Here is a 24,818-nt window from a genome sequence, read left to right as displayed (position 1 = left end):
CAAGGCAGAAAGGAAAAATGTGCATAGGCGCTGGAGTGGAGGCCGTGGAGGGGTAACTATTGATTGCCTCTCCCGACCCCTCAGAGACTAGACAGAGTCTCTGCTGTTGCTGTTGCATTTTTAAAAAATTATAGGCTGGGCGCAGTGGCTCACGCCTGTAATCCCAGCACTCTGGGAGGCTGAGGCGGATGGATCACCTGAAATCAGGAGTTCAAGACCAGCCTGGTCAACATGGTGAAACACTGTCTCTACTAAAAATACAAAAATTAGCCAGGTGTGGTGGCACATGCCTGTAATTCCAGCTACTTGGGAGGCTGAGGTAGGAGAATCACTTGAACCTGGGAGGCAGAGGTTGCAGTGAGCAGAGATCGCGCCACTGCATTCCAGGCTGGATGACAAGAGTGAAACTCCATCTCAAAAAAAAAATTATAATAACAACAAAACAAAATCAAGCAATTTTGAAGTGAATTTTAAAAGTGCAGTGTTGCCGGGCGCTGTGGCTCACGCCTCTAATCCCAGCACTTCGGGAGGCCAAGACGGGTGGATCACAAGGTCAGGAGGTCGAGACCATCCTGGCTAACATGGTGAAACCCCGTCTCTACTAAAAATACAAAAAATTAGCCGGGCGTGGTGGTGGGCGCCTGTAGTCCCAGCTACTCAGGCGGCTGAGGCAGGAGAATGGCATGAACCCAGGAGGCGGAGCTTGCAGTGAGCCAAGATCGTGCCACTGCACTCCAGCTTGGGCCACAGAGCAAGACTCTGTCTCAAAAAAAAAAAAAAAAATGAAATAAAAATAAAATAGAAGTGCAGTGTTTGTCTCTCCCTCTCTCTCCTGCTATGTACCACCATTTCCTTTGATAATTATGTACCACCATTTCCTTTGATAAGAAGAAACTGGGGTTCTCCAAAGCTGCAGAATGCCAAGGGTCTCTGCCGAAGTCTCTTATCTCTTTTTCTTCCTTCTCTTAAAACTTGAACTCACACCACACCTCTTGGCTGTATCTTTTGGGTGGAACCAGCCTTACAGATCAGGTGTCTCCCCAGCTTTTCTCTGGGCCCTGTTCTCCTACCCCTAATACTGGGTTGAGAATACACAGAAATACACAAACTCAGTTTCTCTTACTATACTCTCACAACACTCTTCTGATGCCAGATGTGTGGGTGTTTTGCCCCACACTTTAAGCAAGCAATCAATTCTGCAGTGGACGCCAGCTGGTTGTCCTCTAATTCAATTCAATTCCAACACTACCTGCCTGGAGATAGTGTCAGATGCCACAGGTTGAGGGCTCAGTCCCACAGACTACCCCCCACTTCCAATGCTAATCACAAGCCGCAGGTTGTTTCTGTTCATGCTTCTGACCAACTGGCTATAAATCAGGGTTCCCTCAACTCCCTCACTGGGTTTGATTAATTTGCTAGAGTGGCTAATAGAACTTGGGGAAACACTTTACTTACACTTATCAGCTTATTATAAATGATATTACACAGAATACAGACAAAGAGAGGCAATGGGTGAGGCATGTGGGAAGAGGAGAGAAGTGGAGAACTTCCTTTTTTTTTTTTTTTTTTTTTAGACGGAGTCTAGTTCTGTCGCCCAGGGTGGAGTGCAGTGGCGCGATCTTGGCTCACTGCGAGCTCCGCCTCCCAAGTTCACGCCATTCTCCTCCCTCAGCCTCCCGAGCAGCTGGGACTACAGGCGCCTGCCACCATGCCCAGCTAATTTTTTTGTATTTTTAGTAGAGACGGGGTTTCACCGTGTTAGCCAGGATGGTCTTGATCTCTTGACCTTTTGATCCGCCCGCCTCGGCCTCCCAAAGTGCTGGGATTACAGGTGTGAGCCACCGCGCCCGGGCTTCTTTTTTTTTTTTGAGACGAAGCCTTGCTCTGTCGCCCAGGCTAGAGTGCAGTGGTGTGATCTCAGCTCACTGCAACCTCCGCCTCCCGTGTTCAAATGATTCTCCTGTCTCAGCCTCATGAGTAGCTGGGATTACAGGTGCATGCCGCCACGCCCGGCTAATTTTTGTATTTTAGTAGAGACGGGGTTTCACTGTGTTGCTCAGGCTGGTCTCGAACTCCTGAGCTCAGGCAATCCGCCCACCTCAGCCTCCCAAAGTGCTAGGATTACAGGCGTGAGCCACCGCGCCCGGTAAGAGGGTGGAGAACTTCTATGCACTCTCCAAGAACCCTCCAGGAACTCCAGGAACCTCCACATGTTCAGCTATCCAGAAGCTCTCTGAACCTCCTTTGAGTTTTTATGGAGGCTCATTACATAGGCATGGTTGATTAAATCATTGGTCATTGGTGATCAACTCAACCTTCAGCCCCTCTCCCCTTCCTGGTGGTTGTGGGGTGGGGCTGAAAGTCTCACCCTTCTAATTCTGCCTTGGTCTTTCCAATGATCAGCGCCCATCCTGAAGCTACCTAGGTGCTGCCAGCCCTCAATCAACTCATTGGGTCACAAAAAGACACTTACACTGTGAAGAGTCCAAGGATTTTAGAAGTTGTATGCCAGGAAATGAGGAAAAGACCAAATATTGTACATTTGTACAGTCGTCCCTCAGTATCTGTGGGAGATTGGTTCCAGGACTCCCCTTGGATATCAAAGTCCACAGATGTTCAAGTCCCAATATAAAATGGTATAGTATTTCCACATAACCCGTGCACAGCCTCCCATATACTTTATATTTTTTTAATTTCATGTATTAAAGCAGACTTTATAGTAGTTTTGATCTGATCTTTGAAAGCTGGCTTTGAATTCCCTGCACACATACATAAATATTACGTATAATATTTATATATTATATATACTTATATAAAAACATATACTTATATATTTTATATATACTTATATATTATATATACTTATACATACATAAGTATATACTTACATATTTATATATACTTAAATATATACTTATATATCATATATACTTATATATAATATATATATATATATTTTGAGACAGTCTTATTGTGTCACCCAGGCTGGAATGCAATGGTGTGATCTCGGCTCACTGCGATCTCAGCTCACTGTGATCTCTACCTCCTGGGCTCAAGCAATCCTCCTGCCTCAGCCTCCTGAGTAGCTGGGATCACAGGCACGTGCCGCCATGCCCAGCTAAGTTTTGAATCTTTAGTAGAGACGGGGTTTTGCCATAATGGCCAGGCTGGTCTTGAACTCCTCAAGTGATCTGCCCACTTCAGCCTCCCAAAGTGCTAGGATTACAGGCATGAGCCACTGCACCCGGCCCTTCCCATATACTTTAAATCGTCTCTAGATTAGTTATAATACGTAATACTATGTAAATGCTATGTGAATAGTTGTTATACTATTCTGTATATTTTTAGGGAATAATGACAAGAAAAAAAAGTCTGTACACGTTCAATACAGATGCACCTGCCATTTTTTTTCCTGAATATTTTCAATCCGAAGTTGGTTGAATCCATGGATGTGAAACCCACGGATATGGAGGGCCACCTGATATGTTTCACAGTATCATAAAGATCCACGTCACTGATGGGTGGGTCAGAAAGGTCACTCCTAGTAGGCATTCAAAATGCCTTATTTCTCTTGGTCTATTCTACTCCAGTGACCTGTCTCCCTTTAGCAGCCTACTTCCCTGTGGACGTACTCTAGACTCTGAATAGCTCCATTTAAAAATGTCCCCTTTCTGGGAACGCTAGTACACTGTTGGTAGAAATGTAAATTAGTACAACCACTGTAAAAAACAGTATGGGACGGGCACGGTGGCTCACGCTTGTGGTCCCAGCACTTTGGGATGCCGAGGCAGGCAGATCACTTGAGGTGAGGAGTTCAAGACCAGCCTGGCCAACATGGTGAAACTCCGTCTCTACTAAAAATACAAAAAATTAGCCGGGCATGGTGGCACGTGCCTGTAATCCAAGCTACTTGGGAGGCTGAGGCAAGAGAATTGCTTGAGCCCAGGAGATAGAGCTTGCAGCGAGCCAAGATTGTGCCACTGCACCCCGGCCTGGGCGACAGAGTGAGAATCCGTCTCAAAAAAAAAAAATCAGTATGAAAGTTTCTCAAAAAACTAAAAATAGACCTACCATATGATCCGGCAATCCCACTGCTGGGTATATATCCAAAAGAAAGGAAATCAGTATATCGGGGAGATATCTGCACTCCCATGTTCATTGCAGTACTATTCACAATAGCCAAGAAATGGAATCAACTTCAGTGTCCATCAGTGGATGAATGGATAAAGAAAATATAGTACATACACACAGTGGAATATTATTCAGCTATAAAAAAGAATGAAATTTGTCCAGGCACGGCAGCTCACGCCTGTAACCCCAGCACTGTGGGAGGCCGAGGCGGGTGGATCACCTGAGGTCAGGAGTTCGAGACCAGCCTGGCCAACATGGTGAAACCCCATCTCTACTAAAAATACAAAAATTAGCTGGGCGTGGTGGTGCGCACTTATAATCCCAGCTCCCTGGGAGGCTGAGGCAGGAGAATTGCTTGAACCCGGGAGGTGGAGGTTGCAGTGAGCCGAGATCGTGCCACTGCGCCACTGCACCCTGTCCTGGGCAACAGAGCCAGACTCTTGTCTCAAAAATAAAAATAAAAATAGGGCGCAGTGGCTCATGCCTGTAATCCCAGCACTTTGGGAGGCCGAGGCGGGCGGATCACCTGAGGTCAGGAGTTCGAGACCAGCCTGGCCAACATGGCAAAACCCCGTCTCTATTAAAAATACAAAAAATTAGCTGGGCATGGTAGCAGGTGCCTGTAATCCCAGCTACTTGGGAGGCTGAGGCAGGAGAATTGCTTGAACCTGGGAGATGGAGTTGCAGTGAGCCAAGATCACACCACTGCACTCCAGCCTGGGCTACAGAGCGAGACTCTGTCAAAAAAATAAAAATAAATAAATAAAAAGAATGAAAGTCTGTCATTTGCAGCAACATAGATGGAACTGGAGGACATTGTGTTAAGTGAAATAAGCCAGGCACAGAAAGACAAATATCTCATGTTCTTACTCATATGTGGGAGCTAAAAAAGTTGATCTCATGAAGGTGGAGAGTAGAATGATGGTTACCACAGGCTAGGAAGGGTAGTGAAGTGAAGGGTGGGGGATGAAGAGATTGGTTAATGACTACAAAAATATAGTTAGATGGAAGGAATAAGTTCTAGCATTCTACAGCACAGTAGGGTGATTCTAGTTAACAGCAGCTTATTGTATATTTCTTTTTCTTTTTCCTTTTTTTTTTTTGAAATGGAGTCTCGCCCTGTCATCCAGGCTGTAGTGCAATGGTGCAATCTCAGCTCACTGCAACCTCCGCCTCCTGGGTTCAAGCGATTCTCCTGCCTCAGCCTCCTGAGTAGCTGGGATTACAGGCGAGCGCCACCATGCCCAGCTAATTTTTTGTACCTTTAGTAGAGATGGGATTTCACCATGTTGGCCAGGCTAGTCTCGAGCCCCTGACCTCGTGATCGCCCACCTCGATCTCCCAAGGTGCTGGGATTACAGGAGTGAGCCACTCTGCCTGGCCACTTATTGTATATTTCAAAACAGCTAGAAAAGGATTTGAAATGTTCCCAACACGAAGAAATGATAAATGTTTGAGGTGATGGATATCCTAATTACCTTGATTACACATTGTATGCATGTATCAAAATATCACATATTACCCATAAATATGTATACTTATTATGTATCAATTAAACAAAAGTTCCCTTCTTGACCACAAACTTTCCTTTCTGCCCACTAATCTTCAGAAGCCTCACTGGAACCTCCAGTGGTGTGACTGTAACTGCTGTACTACCTCCAGCTTCCTAGGCCCTCACCGTCCAGTCTGGACTTCATGATCCATCTCTAGCTGCTCTAATTGCCTTGCTCCTTGGCCCTGTGCAACCCATGTCCTGGCCACCACACCATTGCTGTGATACACCCAGTGGTCTGTTTTCTGTTTGTGTTCCAGGGGTGCTCCTGTCTGCTGAAAAAAAAAAAAAATTCTATGGTTGTATTGAAGTTGCCCCTGCCTGATCTTGGTCTTCAATTTCAGCTGGGTCGTCAGGTCTTCTATCTCATTCTTATATCTGTTAATGGCATTTCTAAAATGTGTCAATTTGTATAAATCCTTAATCCAACAGATTATCTTCAATAACTTTAATTCCTACTTTATCAATGAAATAGAGACCACCAAGCATGAAATCCCCCTTATGCCTATGAACAAAATCCATATCCACTCCCATTCCTACCTTCTTCTCTCTACTTCATTCCTTTCCAAGTTTTATTTATCTACTTGTTCTCTATATTCTTCCCACCCCAAATCTAGGGGCTTTACCCTATCAAATATCCTCGCTCCTGTATTTTTCTTTTTTGTTGTTGTTGTTGTTGTTGTTGCTGTTTGTTTTTTTAGACAGAGTCTGGCTCTGTTGCCCAGGCTAAAATGCAGTGGCACGATCACAATTCACTGTAGCCTGGACCTCCCAGGTTCAAGCCATCCTCCCATCTCAGCTTCCCGAGTAGCTGGGATTATAGGCACGTGCCACCATGCCCTGCTTTTTGTAGTTTTTTGTAGTTTGGGTTCTGCCATGCTGCCCTGGCTGGTCTCGAACTCGCGGGCTCAAGCAATCCTCTCACCTCTGCCCCTGCCTCTGCCTCTGCCTCTGCCTCCCAAAGTGCTGGGATTACAGGCATGAGCCACCGCACCAGGCTTCTCTTGTATTTTTGAAATCTTCTCTCACTGGCTTCTTCCCCTTGGCCTCTAGTCTCTTCCCCTCAGGAAATTAGCCTTAAGTTCCACGAGGGTGGGGACATCCCCATTCCTTTCCAAGTTTCATCTACTTTCTTGTCCTCCACATTCCCTCCCCAGCCAAGAAATCCAAGCTATTTAGCATGGTATGAAGAAGCTTTCACCATCTCCTCCACCCTTCCCTCTCAGCCTTAAGTCTCTCTGCTACTGTACATGAAATGGATATGTTCCTCATTTGATTCCTGATCTTGAGCAAACTTCATTTATTCATTTAACATGCATTGAGTGTCCAAATTCACTAGGTCATAATCTGACAGTAATTATTTATTCCCCATGACCATTCATCATTCCTCTCCCTTCTCATCTTGGAGAAATCATTTTTCTTTTTTTTTTTTTTTTTTTTTTGAGACACTGTTCTGTCATCCAGGCTGGAGTGCAGTGGCACAATCACAGCTCACTGCAGCCTCAACTTCCCCAGGCTCAGGCAATTCTCTCACCTCAGCCTCCCAAGTAGCTGGGACTACAGGCATGCACCACCACGCCTGGGCTAAATTTTTGTATTTTTTGTAGAATTGGGGTTTTGTCATGTTGCTCAGGCTAGTCGCGAATTCCTGGGCTCAAGCCATCCACCCACCTCGGCCTCCCAAAGTGCTGGGATTATAGGCATGAGCCACTGCACCTGGCCTCTTTTTCAATTTTCCTTTTTAGTTGACACTTTTTTTTTTTTTTTTTTTGAGACAGTCTTGGTCTGTCGCCCAGGCTGGAGTACAGTGACGTGATCTCAGCTCACTCCAACCTCTGCCTCCCAGATTCAAGCAATTCTCCTGCCTCAGCCTCCTGAGTAGCTGAGACTACAAGCATGTGCCACCATGCCCAACTAATTTTTGTATTTTTAGTAGAGACAGGGTTTCCCCATGTTGGCCAGACTGGTCTGGAACTCCTGACCTCAAGTGATCCGCCCACCTCGGCCTCCCAAAGTGCTAGGATTACAGGCGTGAGCCACCATACCCGGCCATAGTTGACACTTTTTTATATCCACCCAGTTCTTCTAAGTCCTCTGTGGTTGTGGACTTGCCACAAATAAGAGAAAAGAAGTTATCTGCTTCCAACTCCTGGGCCACCTGCCTTCTCTCCTATCCCTACCCCCTTTAAGGAAGACTAAGACAGGGTGTCTCCTTAATCTTCAGACACCATGATGCTGGGACCAGGGTTGACTCTAGGTGAAATTCTAAGGTAACCAAATTAGTATCATCACCCTCCTCCCTCCAGGAGCCCACTGTCACCCACCACAGCCTTTAGTATCCTTCCAGAGGCCTCTGGCTGCCTAGACTACTCAACAGTGACCCCTCACTCCTGGTCCAGTACTTTCTAAGCCATGCATACTGAGTCCAGGATCCCAAGTCACCCCTCCTCCTAGGGAATGGAATCACATGGTAACAGACCAGAATCTCTTCTGCTGTCTCCATGGTCCAGATAGAGCAATGCGATTTGGTGTGGGCATGACTGAGAAGACTAGTAGGGAAGGTCCTTTTCATAGAATGCTGGCCTGCTCCCGAAGACACTGCTCATGGAAGAATGGATAGAGTCATTAGTGCTGCATTACTCAAGGGACACCCCACGCCAGTGCTTAGACACCAGCAAAACTGGGGAACTGAAAAATAAAAGAAAAAATTAGAAACAGAATTTGATAGTTAATCTATATACAATATATGTTTTAAGTATAATCATGTTGAACTTTAAATGTTTCATGGCTTAATATTTTCATTCTGATTACATATGAAAAATGGGACACCACAATCTTTTCAGAGTTTAGAACCTTTAAAGTCTTCATCTAGTCTTGGTTAGGTGGAAGGTCTCTTCCTGGATGAAACCTTTCCTGATCCCTTGCCCAGGTAGTACCATTACTCCTATTTGGAGCCTTCTAAATGTACCCTGATTAACTTCTATCACTCAGCTTACCTAGTCTTTCCTTGCTTCTGCATTGCAAGTCCCTCCAGGGAAGGTCCTGGGTTTTATTCATCTTTGTATCCTTAGCACCTGTGCCTGGACTATAGTAGGAACTCAATAAATGGCTGATGGGATTAATGAAGAGATCTTTTTCTTTCCACAAATAGACACACACAGTTTTTCTTTTCTTTCTTTATTTATTTATTTATTTGAGACGGAGTCTCACTGTGTCGCCAGGCTGGAGTGCAGTGGCATGATCTCGGCTCACTGCAACCTCAGCCTCCCGGGTTCAAGCAATTCTCCTGCCTCAGCCTCCCGAGTAGCTGGGACTACAGATGTGTGCCACCATGCCCAGCTGATTTTTATATTTTTAGTAGAGACGGGGTTTCACCATGTTGGCCAGGATGGTCTCCATCTCTTGACCTTGTGATCCGCCCGCCTCAGCCTCCCAAAGTGTTGGGATTACAGGCGTGAACCACTGCATTCAGCCTTAGTTTTTCTAGTAATAGAATTAGGTCTTACAAAAAAAGGCCCAGAGATCCTTTTTGGGCAGCTTCCTGTCCCCAAGACTATTTCCTTGACCTCTCCAGCATAGCAGTAGACCATAAAAATGGACACAGGGTGCTGAGAAGCAGCTGAACCAGACGAAATGATGATTCTTATTTTGGGAGGTTTCAATCTCTTTGATAATCTAGCAAAAAACAGATCCTTTCCCCAGGAAAATGCACATTCAGACACACAATTTTCTAGTTTGGTTCCTGGACCACTTGATTGCCTCCCTTCCCTGGGAGGCTTCCCAATCCTCTCCACCCCCCAGCTTCCTTCCCACTCCCAGGTAAAGAACCCCTACCCTAGAGGCACTGGGTTCTAATCAGTATTCAGAGTGAGGCCATGGTCAGCTGCCCTATCCTCCCAGTGAGCCCATTCTTGTTCATTCTATAGCACCACTACTGCCCACTCACAGCCAAACACCTGGGACCTCCATGGAAATGGCATACGCTCTGAGAATAGCGAAGTTTCACCAAGGGGAGGAGGAGAAGACAACAGGACAGTTAAGCAAACAAAAAACAAACCACCTGAGTCACCAGAAGGGGAACAAGCCTAACTATTCAGCTCCTCTTCTGGGTGGCTGTATCTCCTCATTACCTAGTAAACTGCCACCAAATGTAAGAAGAAATAAATAAGAGTCCAAGCATTTATTTTATTACCAAAAACAATTTGTTAATAAACACGCTCAATGCCTCCAATCCTGTCCCTGAGGATAATCATGAAAGTCCTTGGGGTTGTAGAGGAAACCTTAAGAGGAAAATGGCTACTTGGTTATCAATGCCTTGGCTGGTGACAAAGAAAGGACCCTTGCAGGGACCAGTCACATGCCATCCTTGGGCCTAAGGAGCCCGAAAGATGGGAATGGATGTGAGCTAAGGATTTAATCACTGTCAAGCAGATCTTGAGGGTTATGGTTAAGCCTGATAACAGCCTCTTTAACAAGAACACACACATCCAGGATCCCCTCAAAGAATCCAGAGTCCTCAGGCTCCCCACAAAATGTAGTCTGGCAGAAAAGGGAAGTCTTTAGAGTCTGCAGAATGATGCAAACCCAGGCCAGAGTGGACCACACTGCTCTCGGCACCACTCCTAAAGGCATCCATTGGCAACGGCTGCCCACTAGGGGCACTGCCACTTGCCTGGCTCAAACTTCAGGACCTGGGGAAGAAATGGTCTGGCTCTGCGGCCTTCAAACCATCTGGATCTCTGGCTCCTCAGCTATTCCTTGAAGCTTTTCCATGATGCCCCCTGAAGGTGGCTCAGGGGCTGGGGGAGGCTCCCCTGGGGCTTCAGACAGCACATAGTAGACGATCTCTTGCTGGCCTTGGGCATTGGTCTGATTCACCACGTGGATGACAGAACTGGGGTTGTCCTGAGAGGCTGAGAGGGCTGTCCCTTCGCTACCCTTGCCCTCCTCTTCCTCTTCCTTACGTCCTGGCTCCCCTGGCACTGTTTCTAGAATAATGCCCTGCAGGCTGCTCTCGTTCAGCGACGTTCCCAGGCCCGATCCCTCTTGTGGTTGCCGCAGCAGTTGCTGTGTCAGCTCTACACTCTCGTAGCGAACCAGCTGCAGCCGCATATAGCCATCTTCATGTTCCTTGTACCTGGTGAGGTAGGAGCATAAAGGGCAGCAAACCCAGGCAGGGGGATACAGAAATGGCCGAGGCTGGCAAAGTAAGGAACAAACATGAGGGATGGAAGAAGTCCTGGAATCCAAGTGACAGGAGTTGAAGACAAAAAAGGTCTTTATTGGAATATGTAGAAGAAAAGGCAAGAGGGAAAGATCATTACTCAAAATGGAAAGTTTTATATAGAAACCCAACCAGAAAAACAGAGACTGACTGACTGTGTTGGAGGGTGAAAGTGTCAAAGGATTTATGAGAAGGCCTTGGAGCTAAGGATCAGAACCCTTAGACTCTAGCTCTAGTTCCAGCTGCAGGACTTTTTGGCACCATTTATTGGGTTTGGCACCATGCCTTACAAGATTCAAAAAACAGAAAAATAAGCTTTGCTCCACCATTATTCTTAGGATTCTTTGAATCTAAATGGAAATGGCAGACATAAAACCACCATCAAATTAAGGTTTTATTTATTTATTTATTTATTTTTGAGATGGAGTCTCGCTCTGTCACCCAGGTTGGAGTGCAGTGGCATGATCTCAGCTCACTACAACCTCCGCCTTCTGGGTTCAAGTGATTCTCCCACCTCAGCCTCCCAAGTAGCTGGGACTACAGGCATGTGCCACCATGCTCAGCTACTTTTTGTATTTTTAGTAGAGACGGGGTTTCACCATGTTGGCCAGGCTGGTCTCGAACTCCTGACCTCATGATCCGCCCACCTTGGCCTCCCAAAGTGCTGGGATTACAGGCGTGAGCCACCGCGCCCGACCCAAATTAAGGTTTTTAAAACTGGTTGAAAAGGTATAAAAACAAGTGTGTTAATCTGGGAAGGAGGGTTGAGAGACATACCGAAAACGGGGATGCCCTGAGGGCCACTTGAACTGGTGCTTCTTGCGAAGGTGCACGGTGAGGTTGTTGCCCCGTGTGAAGCATTTGTCACACACATGACATTTGTACCTTGGCTCAGAGTCTCCCTGATGGGGAAGGAAGGGAGAAATGAGACCAGCTCTTCACCCCAGGGTCCCCCATACTTCCACTAGTCCTTCCCAACACCAGCCCCACTCACTTCATGTACTTTGCGGTAATGGGACTTGATAGAGCAGAGGGATCGGGCACTGAAGGTGCAGTTCTCAAAATCACACCTGTAGGCTGGCTCCTCGCTGTGGGTATCCAGGTGCTTCTGGAGGTCAATAAGATTCTTGCAGCTGCCATGAGAAATCAGGAGGGATTGGAGGACATGGGGAACACTGGAACATGAGCTGTTTTCTGGTCCCTGGTCCCCCTTACCTGTAGTCACAACAGTCACATTTAAAGGGCCGGTCCTCACTGTGACGAAAGCGCATGTGGTTGCGGAGGGAGGAAGGCAGCGGGCAGGTCATGTCACACAGAGGGCACTTATAGTGATTCACTGAGAGAAGCAGAGAGGAGGCTGTGATGTGAGAACTTGTGGAACCTTGGAGGGCAGGAGGGAGGCTGTGGGCCGCAGGCCACTCACCATGGTTGCGCATGTGGTCCCGCAATAGCCGCTCTGTGGCAAATCTCTTGGAACAGTGAGAACACTGGAAGTGCTGCTCTGGGGTGGGGCAGGCAGAAGAAAGGAGGGCTGTAGGTGATAGTGGAGAGGCACAGAAAGGAGAGGGGAACCATCCCAGGCAGAAGGGAACCACCCAAGGAGAAAAGGAGAGCTTAGGGAGCTATGAATGGACACAGTATCATGGAAAGAGCATGGGACTTAGAGAACCTGAGTTAGAATTCCAGCTTCACCACTTACTAGCTGTGTGATCTCAGGTAAGTGATTTAACCTCTCTGAGCCTCAGTTTCCTCATCTGCAAAAAGGGGGATAAGAAGCCTACCTCATGGGGCTGTTGTGAGGATTCCCTAAGTAACTGATACGAGGTACAGTAAGTACTGAATAACAATGCCTACGAATCTGAATCAGCAAAGAGACTATGGGAGGTGCCTGAGCCCAAAAAGAAGAGGCAGCCAAAAGGCAGGTCTCTTCAGTGGCCACCCCCACTAGAAACATGCCCCTAACCCATTCCAAGCAGGACAGCCTGCATCCACCCCACTTCCTCTGACTACTTACGATCCAATGAGGTCTGGCGACGGATGTGATCTAAGAACTTGGTATTGTTGGCAAACATGCCCCCACAGGTGGGGCAGGCTACCACTTTCTCCTGGGTATGGCTGCGGAGGTGCTCTCGAAGTTTACTGCGGTCCTTGAAGGTGCAGGTACAGCCTGGGAAGGAAGCCCTATCAGTCTCCTGCCACAAAACCCCAGTTTTGCCTAGGATCTGGTACCCCTGAGTCTCTCCAGCCGGCAGTCAACCTTGCCCCTGTAGGACCCCTATCCCTTTCTGTCCCAGCTCTTCAGGAACCCCAGCGTTTCCTCCAGAAGCCACAAGTTAAGAAGCAGCCCTACCTTTCCAGCCACACAGCACCACCGGGTTGTCCTTGCCGACTGCTTCGTATTCACAGCACAGACTGTGTGCTTCCACATGCCGATAAAACCACTCAGGATTGTCGAAGGAATTCTGTGCCAGGGGCAACTTGGGGTGAGGACTGAGGGTGGGTAGAGGGACTCACCCCTATGTGCCCGAAGAATTCTTGGCTCTCTCCCAAATTAACTTGATGGGGATGGGAAATTTTGAGGAAAGGCACTGCACAGAAATGGAGGAGTGGCCGGGTGCGGTTGCTAAACCCTGTAATCCCAGCACTTTGAGAGGCTGAGGCAGGAGAATCACTTGAGGCCAAGAGTTCGAGACCGGCCTGGGCAACACACCCAGACCTTGTCTCTACAAAAAATTTAGAAGTTAGCAGGGCATGGTGGTACATGCCTGTAGTCCTAGCTACTTGGGAGGCTGAGGTGGGAGGATTGCTTGAGCCCAGGAGTTCAAGGTTACAGTGAGCTATGATTGTACCACTGCACTCTAGCCTGGGCTTCAGATCAAGAGCCTGTGTGTAAAAAATAAACAAATTTTAAAAGAGCAAAAGAAATGGAAGAGAGATACTAGCAGGAATCTTGGAAATATAAGGCATCCCTGAAAGGGACAAGGCATCAGAGTTAAGACCCCCAGCTTCCTTCCACCCCAATTACTGGCACTGCCTGCTGACCTCACAGTGCTCCCACAGACACAGGAAGTGGTCAGGGATATCAGGGATGACGTTCCGGCTCTGGAAGTCCAGGATGCAGGGGCCAAGGTCAGCCTGGCTTTGCAAGGCCTGCAGCCCCCACTGTTTCAGCTTGGTGTGGTAGCAGTGGAAGTAGACATGGCGGATGAGGTCAGCAGAACTGTCCAGAGAACAAAAGCCACATTCCTGCCACAAGCAGGAGAATTCTTCCTCTGTAGAAAGGGGTTTAAAAGGAAGAGTCTGACACTTTCCAAGGCTCAGGTCACCTTCCACCTGCAGCACTAAACAGAGAGTGAGGAGGCTGGACTCGTGAGGAGGCTGGACTCTAACCAAATTACCAGGGTTCATTTAGCAAATACCAGTATTTAATGACCATAAATTGTGTGCCAGTTAGAGGGACTATAACAAGTAAAAAGTGTCCCACTCCTTGCCCTCACATAGCTTTCAGTCAGGGAGAAAGCATATTCATCAAATAATCAGATCTATAAATATAAAACTGCAACCAGTGATGAGTGTTACAAAGCGGGGATATACATGGTGCTATAAAAGCATTAAACAGAGGTCATTTGACATGGTGTTCTGAGAAACGTCCCCATGTTGAACTCTGAAGTACGATGGATGAGTATCTGTAAATAGGTGAAGAAGTGTGGTCTAGGCAGAGGTGAGAGTGTGTGCAAGGCCTATGCCAGAAACAGACAGCAGAAATGGCCGGCACGCAAGTCCTCTGACTTGAGTTTCTGCAGTTCCTGATGAAGATGCTGCCTCTCGATCTGACACCTCCCACTTCTCCTTGTAAAACCACCACTCCTCCTTCCCCTCATGTTTTGCTCAAGATCTGCCTTCTCCAAGAAGGCCCCATCAACTCTTCCAATCCATTTCCTATCTCTCTAGCATCCCTAAGCACTGTATTTTCAGCGCTTTATATAAGTTAACTTGTTTTGAAACACAGATACTTTAGAAAATATAATCATTCCCCAATTTTGCCTTTGTATAAATATGACTTGAATTTTGAAACTATCAATTATGGTTCATAGTCATCAGACTTAAAACAGAATTTGGGGTGGGAGAAGGAGAGCTGCCTCCATATTTCCTGTAGAATAGAGTTTTTCAGACTGTGTTGTGACCCACTAGTGGGTTAGGAAATCAGTTCAGTGAACTATCAACCACATTTTGGGCCGGGTGCGGTGGCTCACGCCTGTAATCCCAGCACTTTGGGAGGCCGAGGCAGACAGATCACGAGGTCAGGAGATCGAGACCATCCTGGCTAACACAGTCAAACCCCGTCTCTACTAAAAAATACAAAAAAAAATTAGCTGGGCTTGGTGGTGGGCGCCTGTAGTCCCAGCTATTTGGGAGGCTGAGGCAGGAGAGTGGCATGAACCCGGGAGGCGGACCTTGCAGTGAGCGGAGATCGAGCCACTGCACTCCCACAAAAAAAAAAAAAAAGAAAAGAAAAATGTATTCCTGCCAGATGCAGTGGCTTATGCTTATAGTCCCAGCTGCTCAGCATGCTGAGGCAGGAGGATCACTTGAGGCCAAGAGTTTAAGATCAACCTGGTAACATAGCAAGACTCTGTCTCTAAAAAAAAAGTGGCTTTGGTCGGGCGCAGTGGCTCACGCCTGTAATCCCAACACTTTGGGAGGCCGAGGCAGGCAGATCACAAGGTCAGGAGTTTGGGACCAGCCTGGCCAATATGGTGAAATCCTGTCTCTACTAAAAATACAAAAATTACCCGGGCGTGGTGGCGGGCACCTGTAATCTCAGCTACTTGGGAGGCTGAAGCAGGAGAATCACTTGAACCCGGGAGGCGGAGGTTGCAATTAGCCGAGATCATGCCATTGCACTCTAGCCTGAGCAACAGAGTAAGACTCCATCTTACTCTGAAAAAAAGTTTTTTTTTTCCTTTTTCTTTTAAATCCTGCCACACTTATTAGTACCGTGACTTTGGGCAAGTTATTTTATTCCTCTGTGCCTCCGTTTCCTTATTTGTAAAATGGGTATAATAATAGTGCCTATCCCATCCTGGCTAACACAGTGAAACCCCGTCTCTACTAAAAATACAAAAAAAAATTAGCTGGGCATAGTGGCATGTGCCTGTAATCCCAGCTACTCGGGAGGCTGAGGCAGTAGAATTGCTTGAACCTGGGAGGTGGAGGTTGCAGTGAGCTGAGATCGCACCACCACACTCCAGCCTGGCGACAGAGCAAGACTCCATCTAAAAATAATAATAATAAATAATAATAATAATAGTGCCTATCTCATAGGCTCTTTGGGAAATAGTGCTTTAATGTAGGTTTAAAAAAGTACTGGCCGGGCATGGTGGCTCACGTCTATAATCCCAGCACTTTGGGAGGCTGAGGCGGGCGGATCACCTGAGGTCAGGAGTTCAAGACCAGGCTGGCCAACAGGGGCATCCTGGCTAACATGGTGAAAGCCTGTCTCTACTAAAAATACAAAAAAAAATTAGACGGGCGTAGTGGCACGCACCTGTAATCCCAGCTACTCGGGAGGCTGAGGCAGAAGAATCGCTTGAACCGAGGAGGCAGAGGTTGCAGTGAGCCGAGATTGCACCACTGCACTACAGCCTGGGCAACAAGAATGAGACTCCATCTCAAAAAAAAAATAAAGTACCCAGCAATACTTAACACACAGTAGGTACTATAGAATACAGTTCACTATTGTTATTGTTTTCAGATTGGATTTTATTAAAATCCCAGTTATTTGCTATTGATAAAAGGCATACCTAAAACATAAGTCAGACAAAGGTTAAAAAGTGAGAGATGGGGCCAGGTGCGGTGGCTCACGCCTGTAATCCCAGCACTTTGGGAGGCCGAGGTGGGCGGATCATGAGATCAAGAGATTGAGACCATCCTGGCCAACATGGTGAAACCCCATCTCTACTAAAAGTACAAAAATTAGTTGGGCGTGGTGGCGCGCGCCTGTAGTCCCAGCTACAAGAGGCTGAGGCAGGAGAATTGCTTGAACCTGGGAGGCAAAGGCTGCAGTGAGCCGAGATCGAACCATTGCACTCCAACCTGGCAACAGAGCAAGACTCCGTCTCAAAAAAAAAAAAAAAAATTGGAAGGTGGGAGTGGGGTTGGACTTGGTGGCACAAGCCAATAGTCCCAGCTACTTAGGAGGCTAAGGTAGGAGGATTGCTCGAGGCCAGGAGTTTGAGATCAGTGGGCAACATAAGCAAGATCCTGTCTCTAAAAAAAATTTTTTTAAAAATTGGCGTGTGGTGGTGGTACATGCCTGCAGTCCTAACTACTCGGGAGGTTGAGGCAGGAGGATCCCTTGAGTGTTGAAGGCTGCAGTGAGCTATGATCATGACACTGGACTCCAACCTGGGTGACAAGATGAAGCCCTGTCTCTAAAAAGTAAGATGTATTTCTGACTGGTTGCAGTAAAAGAAAAAAAAAATTGGGAATACTAGAAGAGTAAAAAAAAAAAAAAAAAAAACACAACAACAAAACACAGGTTGCCAACAACTTGTACAGAATGATTAAAAAAAAGCACATTCATCTGTATTTAAATATATGTAAACACAGGCAGAGAGATGTCAAAAACAATGTTCACTAAAGTACTGTCAGCAATTACTTCTTGATGGCAGGATGGCAGATTTATTCCTTATATCCTTGTTGACTGAGTTTTCTATAAATGAGTTTACAATGTTTTTATATACAACAAAAACACAATTAGGAAAATAAACCACCATTCTCTTAGGCCGCCTTCTCCCTCTAAGGAAAAGAAAGTCAGATTTTCCACCTTTCCTTGAGCTCCTCCCCTTCCTGTGTCCTGCTCTCTTACCAAGTGGGTCATCCTCCTCTTCCTCTTCCTCCTCCTCCCCAGAGCCATGCAGGTGCTGCTGCAGGTGCTGAGTGACATGCTCAAAGAACTTTTCCATGGTTGAGCACACAAAGGAGCAGGACCCCCACTCACACTGTAGCCACAGATTCTCCTTTCGGGGAACTTTCCCAGGAGGCGGCATGGCCTTCACCCTAGAGGAAGAGGAAGAAATCCACAGCTGCAAGAATTCCACCCAGGTGCTGCTGAGGGCAAAAAGCTGGGCAGGCAGCCTGCCTAGAATCAGCACGTGTTGTTCCAGTGACCCATGAGAAACCCTGCCCTTTTACAGTAAGGATGGAGTAATTCCTTAAATCCCTGGAAGATGTCTGGTGTTTGTGGAAAGGGAAAACAAAAACTAACACTATTGAGTGTGTGCCAGGCACTGAGCTAAACGCTTTAACAGACATTTTCTCATGAAGCTTCAGAGCAACCCACCAAGAAGGAATTATTCCTCTGTGAGGCAGAACAATGCTCAGGTTCAAACAGATGGCTTTTGAGAAGGATCAGGGTTCAAATCCTGGCTCCACTGTCTACCATCTACTAGCTGTATGACCTTTGTCAAGAACTTAACTTCTGAATACTCTCATCTGCAAAATGAAGATAATAAATCTTTTTGTTTTTAATTTCACACTTACTATATGTCAAGCACCACAGTAAGCATTTTATTTGCATTATGTCATTTAATTACCAACACCACCCTTTGCCGTAGGTGCTTTTTTTTTTTTTTTTTTTGAGATTGAGTTTCGCTCATCTCCCAGGCTGGAGTGCAATGGCTCGATTTTGGCTCACTGCAACCTCCGCCTCCCGGGTTCAAGCGATTCTCCTGCCTCAGCCTCTTGAGTAGCTGGGATTACAGGCGCCCGCCACCACGCCTGGCTAATTTTTATATTTTTCGTAGAGACAGGGTTTCTTCCCCATGTTGGTCAGGCTGGTCTCAAACTCCTGCCCTCAGGTGATCCACCCACCTTGGCTTCCCAAAGTGCTGGGATCATAGGTGTGAGCCACCACGCCCAGCTGGTAGGTGCTATTTTTAACCTCATTTATAGATAAACACCTGAAGTTCCAGAGGTCAACTGACTTGCTCACGGCCACACACTAGTGGTAATGGTAGGGTCATGTTGGGCTGACTCTAGTCCATATACGGTTCTACTCCATAGAGCCTACAGATGAGCCTAGAAGCTCCTTATTTCTTATTGAATCATAAGTCCCCTGCCAGACTTTCACAGTGCCATACAATCTGCCTTTACCTAACCTATCCAACGGTTTACTCCACCACTCTGCTAATACCTTCTGTTAAAATGTAGATTCCATTTGAACATAAAAAGCCGTATCTGTGTAGTTTATACTGCACCTTGGGTGTCTATACACTGCTAGGCATGCTTAGGCATGTAATAAATATTTTTTTTCTTGAGACAGAGTCTCACCCTGTCACCCAGGCTGGAGTACAGTGGCACAATCACAGCTCACTGAAGCTTCGACCTCCCCAGGCTCAGGAGATCCTCCTACCTCAGCCTCCCAAGTAACTGGGACCACAGGCATGCGCCACCACATCTGTCTAATTTTTGTTTTGTTTTGTTTTTGTAGTGACAGGGTTTTGCCATGTTGCCCAGGCTGGTCTCGAATTCTTGGACTCAAGCAACCCATCTGCCTCAGACTCCCAAAGTGTTGGAGTTACAGGCATGAGCCACTGCACCCAGTCTGTAATAAATATTTATTGAAGAAAGATAAACATGAAACTGAAGGTTCTCGGCTGTGCGCACTGGTGCACACCTCTAATCCCAGCACTCTGGGAGGCCAAGACAGGTGGATCATCTGAAGTCAGGAGTTCAAGACCAGCCTGGCCAACATGGTGAAACCCTGTCTCTACTAAAAATACAAAAATTAGCCAGGCGTGGTGGCACAAGCCTGTAATCCCAGCTACTCGGGAGGCTGAGGCAGGAGAATCGCTTGAACTTGGAAGGCAGAAGCTGCAATGAGCCGAGATCGTGCCACTGTACTCCAGCCTGGGCAACAGAGTAAGACTCTGTCTCAAAAAAAAAAAAAAAAAAAAACACACACACACACACAAACAAAAAACTAAAGGTTCTCAATTTTATTTCATTTTATTTTTATTTTTTGAGACAGAGTCTCGCTGTTACCCAGGCTGGAATGCAGTGGCGCAATCTCAGCTCACTGCAACCTCCACCTGCCGGGTTCAAGAGATTCTCCTGCCTCAGCCTCCTGAGTAGCTGGGATTACAGGTGTGTCACCACGCCTGGCTAATTTTTGTATTTTTGCTAGAGACAGAGTTTCACCATGATGGCCAGGCTGGTCTCGAACTCCTGTCCTCAGGTGATCCACCCGCCTCAGCCTCCCAGAGTGCTGGGATTATAGATGTGAGCCACCATGCCCAGGTAGCTCTCAATTTTAGATCTGCACACGAATGTAGTTATCCAGCGCCTGCGTGAGAAGTTCGGATTCAGGAAGGCAGGAGTTAAGCCTAGAAATCTGCCCTTTTAACTCAGCACCCCAGTTGTGATGCAAGCAGTTCCAGAAGCATACTTTGAGTAACAATTAAAGAATAAACGAAACACAGAACAGAGGGTGACGTTGCAAGCAAAATTTCTGCTAGAGAGAGGACACTAGCCGGCCTTGGCTCTGTCTCCTGAGTGTCACCTTCTCCTCAGGAATTCTCACGGATTCTTGCTGACCCCACCATGTTGCTCTCTCTGGCCTACCTGAGACAGGTGGGAACTCTGAAAAAAGGCCTTTACTGAATACTAAAAGGAAAAAAAACAGAAAATACGAAAAAACAGAAGATCCTTCATGCCCCCAATACAGGCTTTTCTGAACCCACTATACCTACTGTACCTACATAGCCTTTTCTCCTCCTCAGAGAAGAATCCAGTCATCCTTAACACTCTGGGGTGCATATAGGGTTGCTGAGCTGCTCACAGACTACTAGTGAATCCCTATTACAAATATTGACTGCTGGGCCGAGTGCAGTGGCTCACGATCTTAGCACTTTGGGAGGCTGAGGTGAGCAAATGGCTTGAGCTCAGGAGTTTGTGACCAGCCTGGGCAACATGGCAAAATTCCGTCTCTACTAAAAATACAAAAATCAGCCGGGCGCAGTGGCTTATGCCTGTAATCCCAGCACTTTGGGAGGCCGAGGCGAGGGGATCACAAGGTCAGGAGATTGAGACCATCCTGGCCAAATACAAAAAATTAGCTAGGTATGGTGGCACACGCCTGTAGTCCCAGCTACTATGGAGGCTGAGGCAGGGGAATCACTTGAACCCGGGAGACAGAGGTTGCAGTGAGCCGAGATCGCACCATTGCACTCCAGCCTAGTGACAGAGCAAGATTCAATCTCAAAAAAAAAAAAAAAAAAAAAAAAACAGCCGATGTGGTAGCATGCACCTGCAGTCCCGCTACTTGGGAGGTTCAGGTGGGAGGAAGGCTTGAGCCCAGGAGGCAGAGGTTGCAAAGAGCCAAGATCACACCATTGTACTCCATCCTGGGCGGCAGACCCAGACCCTGTCAAAAAAAAAAAAAAGAAGAAAGAAATATTGAATATTGACTGCTTTTATAATGTTGTGGTAAGAAAAGTAGAAAAAAGCTTCAAAAGTCATAAAATCCCACACCTCCTCTGACTATTACAGTATGAAATGCAAGGCTCTTCTCAAAGTGGTCTCAATTTTACTTCTCCAGTTCTAGGTAGGGAAACGAACATCTATTGAGAAGCTACAGTGTGTCAGCCCTGTGGTGAGTCCTCTCTACACTTCATCTGATGTAAGAGCACCCTCATTCCAATCCAAAGATCATGCTCTTTCTCCCACATGATGCTGTTCTCTGGCTTCCTCACCCATACTTCATTCCCTCTTCCTCTGATTCAATCATCTTTGTCTCTGAATACTCTACATTCTCCTAAAACTCTCTGCCTACGCAAGTTCTTTTTTTTTTTTTTTTTTTTTTTGGAGATGGAGTCTTGCTCTGTCGCCCAGGCTGGAGTGCAGTGCTGTGATCTGGGCTCACTGCAACCTCCGCCTCCCAGGTTCAAGCGATTCTCGTGACTTAGCCTCCGAAGTATTATAGCTGGGACTATAAGCACGCACCACCACGCCCAGCTAATTTTTGTAGTATTAGTAGAGACGAGGTCTTGCCATGTTGGTCAGGCTGGTCCCAAACTCCTGACCTCAAGTGATCCGCCCGCCTCGGCCTCACAAAGTGCTGGGATTACAGGTGTGAGCCACCGCGACAGGCCTACCTATGCAACTTCTATTCGCCTTTCAAACCCCAAAGTCTTCTCTTTGATGACCCCCTTCCCAATTCATCCAGGTACAGCTGGCATATCCCATCTCTTGCCCACGGCATCCACACACATCTTTGCTATCAATGCAATGAAACTTGTTTCCCCTAGACTAGGAGTTTCTCAGGACAGTGGCCATCACTTATTCACTTCTCATTCTCAGATTCAGCACAGAGCTTTGCACACCCCAGGTACTCAATAAATATCAGGAGATAATCACATTCCGGGAAGCCTTCCTAAACTACCCCATCCCTGAATCTACTCTTGCTCCTTAGTTCTATGGCTGGCACAGCTGACACCATAAAACTTCAACCCTATTTTCATGTTGCCATGGTCGTTTTATGTGTTCTAGTCTCGTTTACCCAATTGGACTATAAGAAGCTTCTGAGCAGAAACCATATCACACCTGCCCGTGTCCCTACACTGTGCCGAGCACAAATATTCTAAACATACACCTGCTGTTAGACTGGTGGGTAAGTCCAAGGAGGCAAGCTAGCTGGCGATACAGAATGATCTGAAACCTAGGCAAAACTCCCTGACGCTCTCTGACTGTCCTCCTGTCTTCTTTAATTTCTCTTTCTGTGTCTCTTGTTTCTACTCTGAGGAGATAGGGGCATGATCTTCACTCTACCCTCTTAACACTTAAGAGGGCATATACTGTAACGCAAGACAATGAATGAACTGTGGTATTCAAGAAAAAAAGGGTCCTAAACGCCTAAGAACTCATAATTTGGCCAAAAAGATAAGACTGATACGTGAAGACAACGACCGAAACAAAGTACCCGATGAGGGAGACCAGGACAGAGAGACACCTCCGCGGTCAGGCGAAAAGGAAGTCTCCCCTAAGCAGTGGGGCCCGCACCACGCCTCGAAGGACAGGTAGAATTTGGACAGAAGGAAGGAGACCGTCCCGTTGGGCAAAACCTCTCCACTCGCAGTCCCGCAGGCTTCCCGGAATCCTTCACGCTAAGGCGTGGCGGCGACCGAGTCTCAGCCGCAGCGAAGCCCCTAGACTAGAAAGCAGGGAGGTTCCAGTCGGGGTGAGGGGACCGGACCAGGGCAGACCAGCGTGGCCAAGCGGCAAGAATACTCGCCGAGGTGGCTCGGGAAGAGCTTGGCCTCCTGCAGCCCCTGCAGAGCACATACCCCAGCTTACCGTCTGTCGGCTCCAGGTCTCTTCAGCTCTTCTCCCACCTCAGACCATCTCCGGAGAGGCGCTTGAGGGACGGTCAAGGAAAGCCAATCGTCGTTCTCGGATCCGACTGACAGCCAATGGTAGCTGTGTCTGGCGGAACCCGTGCGCACCAAAACACGGAAGGGGCGGGAACAGTGGGTGGGGCTAGGCGTCCCGGGCGGACAGAGGGGCGACAGGATACGTGCAAAAGGTAGCACGTGACCGCGCCTCGCTGCTCAGGGCAACGCAAAGGCGGGGAGCCTATGGGCCTGAGTTCCCCTAACTGCGCAGGCTCGGCCTCCGGGACCCAACGGGCATGCGCAGGGCTCGCGCCTGGTGCGCAGTGGGGTCTCCCTCACGTGGTTCTTCGCTTTAGTTGGCTGGTTGCGTGGGCCTCGCGGAGAAAAAGGCGTGGGATGCTGCCCAGCGCTGTCGGCCCCGCTCGGCTCAGATTGAAGGTTCTACCCTTTCCTTCAGCCTCTTAGTCTTATTATGTTTTAAATGTTGGTATTATATGTTTCTCTTTCCCCCCAAAACTCGGCTTCCCTTCATCCACTCGTTCAGGTCAGAAAGCTGGCAGTCATCACTGATTCCTCTCACTTCTCACATCCAATCCATTGCCAAGTTCTGTGGATTCTACCTCCTTTTAAAACAGGATATTTCAAATTTATCCCCTTTTGTTTATCTTCACCGCCTCCCCCACCTCCCCTGTCCAGTGATGACCTCCAGGCAGGATTTATACATTAGTCTAATGGGTCCCGCTGCGTGCACACTTGCTTCCTTCCAAAGCATTCTCCACTTTGCAAAAAGCAGACCTGATCAAGTTACCATCTGCTTCAGACAATTCAAAGGCATTCTATTGCTTTCAGGGCAAAGCTCCAAAACCATACTGAGGTTTTCTAGACCCTTCAGCATCTGGGCTCTCCCTGTCTACTTTTTTTTAGTCCTTCTCGACCATATTTCTTGCTCTCCAGTCGCAAATTTCTTTCACCTTTTCCACCACACCAAGCCACCTTTTACCTCTCAAGCCTTGAACTTGTTTTCTTTACCTGGAATAATCCCTTTCTCCTCCTCCCACATTTATTTGACTGACTCCTACTAATTTTTATGGTCTCAGTGTAGATGCTTCTTTTTCCAAAAAGTCTTCCTGATAGTCCTTTCTTGTATTTAACAATACAGCTCAGTCACATTGTATTTGTCTGTTTACTCTCAGTCTGCATTCTTCACTAGACTAGTTCTTCACCTTTATAACTCCATCAGTGGGCCGGGTGTCGTGGCTCACGCCTGTGATCCCAGCACTTTGGGAGGCCGAGGCGAGTGGATCACATGAGGTCAGGAGCTCAAGACCAGCCTGGCCAACATGGGGAAACCCCGTCTCTACTAAAAATACAAAAACTAGCTGGGCATCGTGGCGGGCGCCTATAATCTCAGCTACTCGGGAGGCTGAGGCAGGAGAATCGCTTGAACCCAGGAGGCACAGGTTGCAGTGAGCTGAGATGGCACCACTGCACACCAGCCTGGGCAACAGAGCAAGAC

General features: G+C 47.3%; 1 protein-coding gene across 19 annotated transcripts, besides 1 other annotated feature; it reads right to left on the bottom strand.

The window, feature by feature from the left end:
• HINFP (histone H4 transcription factor) lies at positions 8,845-23,324 on the bottom strand. Of its 19 annotated transcripts, none has more exons than NM_001351971.2 (13): positions 23,265-23,324; positions 22,891-23,121; positions 21,220-21,336; positions 17,779-17,969; positions 13,950-14,179; positions 13,258-13,369; positions 12,922-13,074; positions 12,607-12,661; positions 12,331-12,408; positions 12,123-12,243; positions 11,902-12,040; positions 11,685-11,809; positions 8,845-10,820 (listed from the first exon to the last, which is right to left on the bottom strand). In NM_001351971.2, the coding sequence occupies exons 9-13, from the start codon at positions 12,341-12,343 to the stop codon at positions 10,406-10,408; spliced, it is 813 nt and encodes a 270-aa protein (NP_001338900.1). In that variant the 5' UTR covers positions 12,344-12,408; positions 12,607-12,661; positions 12,922-13,074; positions 13,258-13,369; positions 13,950-14,179; positions 17,779-17,969; positions 21,220-21,336; positions 22,891-23,121; positions 23,265-23,324; the 3' UTR covers positions 8,845-10,405. The 19 variants fall into 19 exon arrangements, with proteins under 19 accessions (NP_001338900.1, NP_001338894.1, NP_001338889.1 ...); NM_001351965.2 differs by lacking the exon at positions 22,891-23,121 and adding an exon at positions 16,456-16,553; NM_001351960.2 differs by lacking the exon at positions 12,607-12,661.
• Positions 23,311-23,590: a silencer, noted in NCBI's record as "silent region_3970". NCBI's record gives its function as "represses an Ori minimal core promoter by ATAC-STARR-seq in GM12878 lymphoblastoid cells {active_cell/tissue: GM12878}" and the evidence as "EXISTENCE:reporter gene assay evidence [ECO:0000049][PMID:35858748]".

The sequence above is a fragment of the Homo sapiens genome, chromosome 11 (genome assembly GCF_000001405.40).
Source record: "Homo sapiens chromosome 11, GRCh38.p14 Primary Assembly".
NCBI lineage: Eukaryota > Metazoa > Chordata > Mammalia > Primates > Hominidae > Homo > Homo sapiens.
This window is presented reverse-complemented; position numbering and strand designations above follow the sequence as displayed.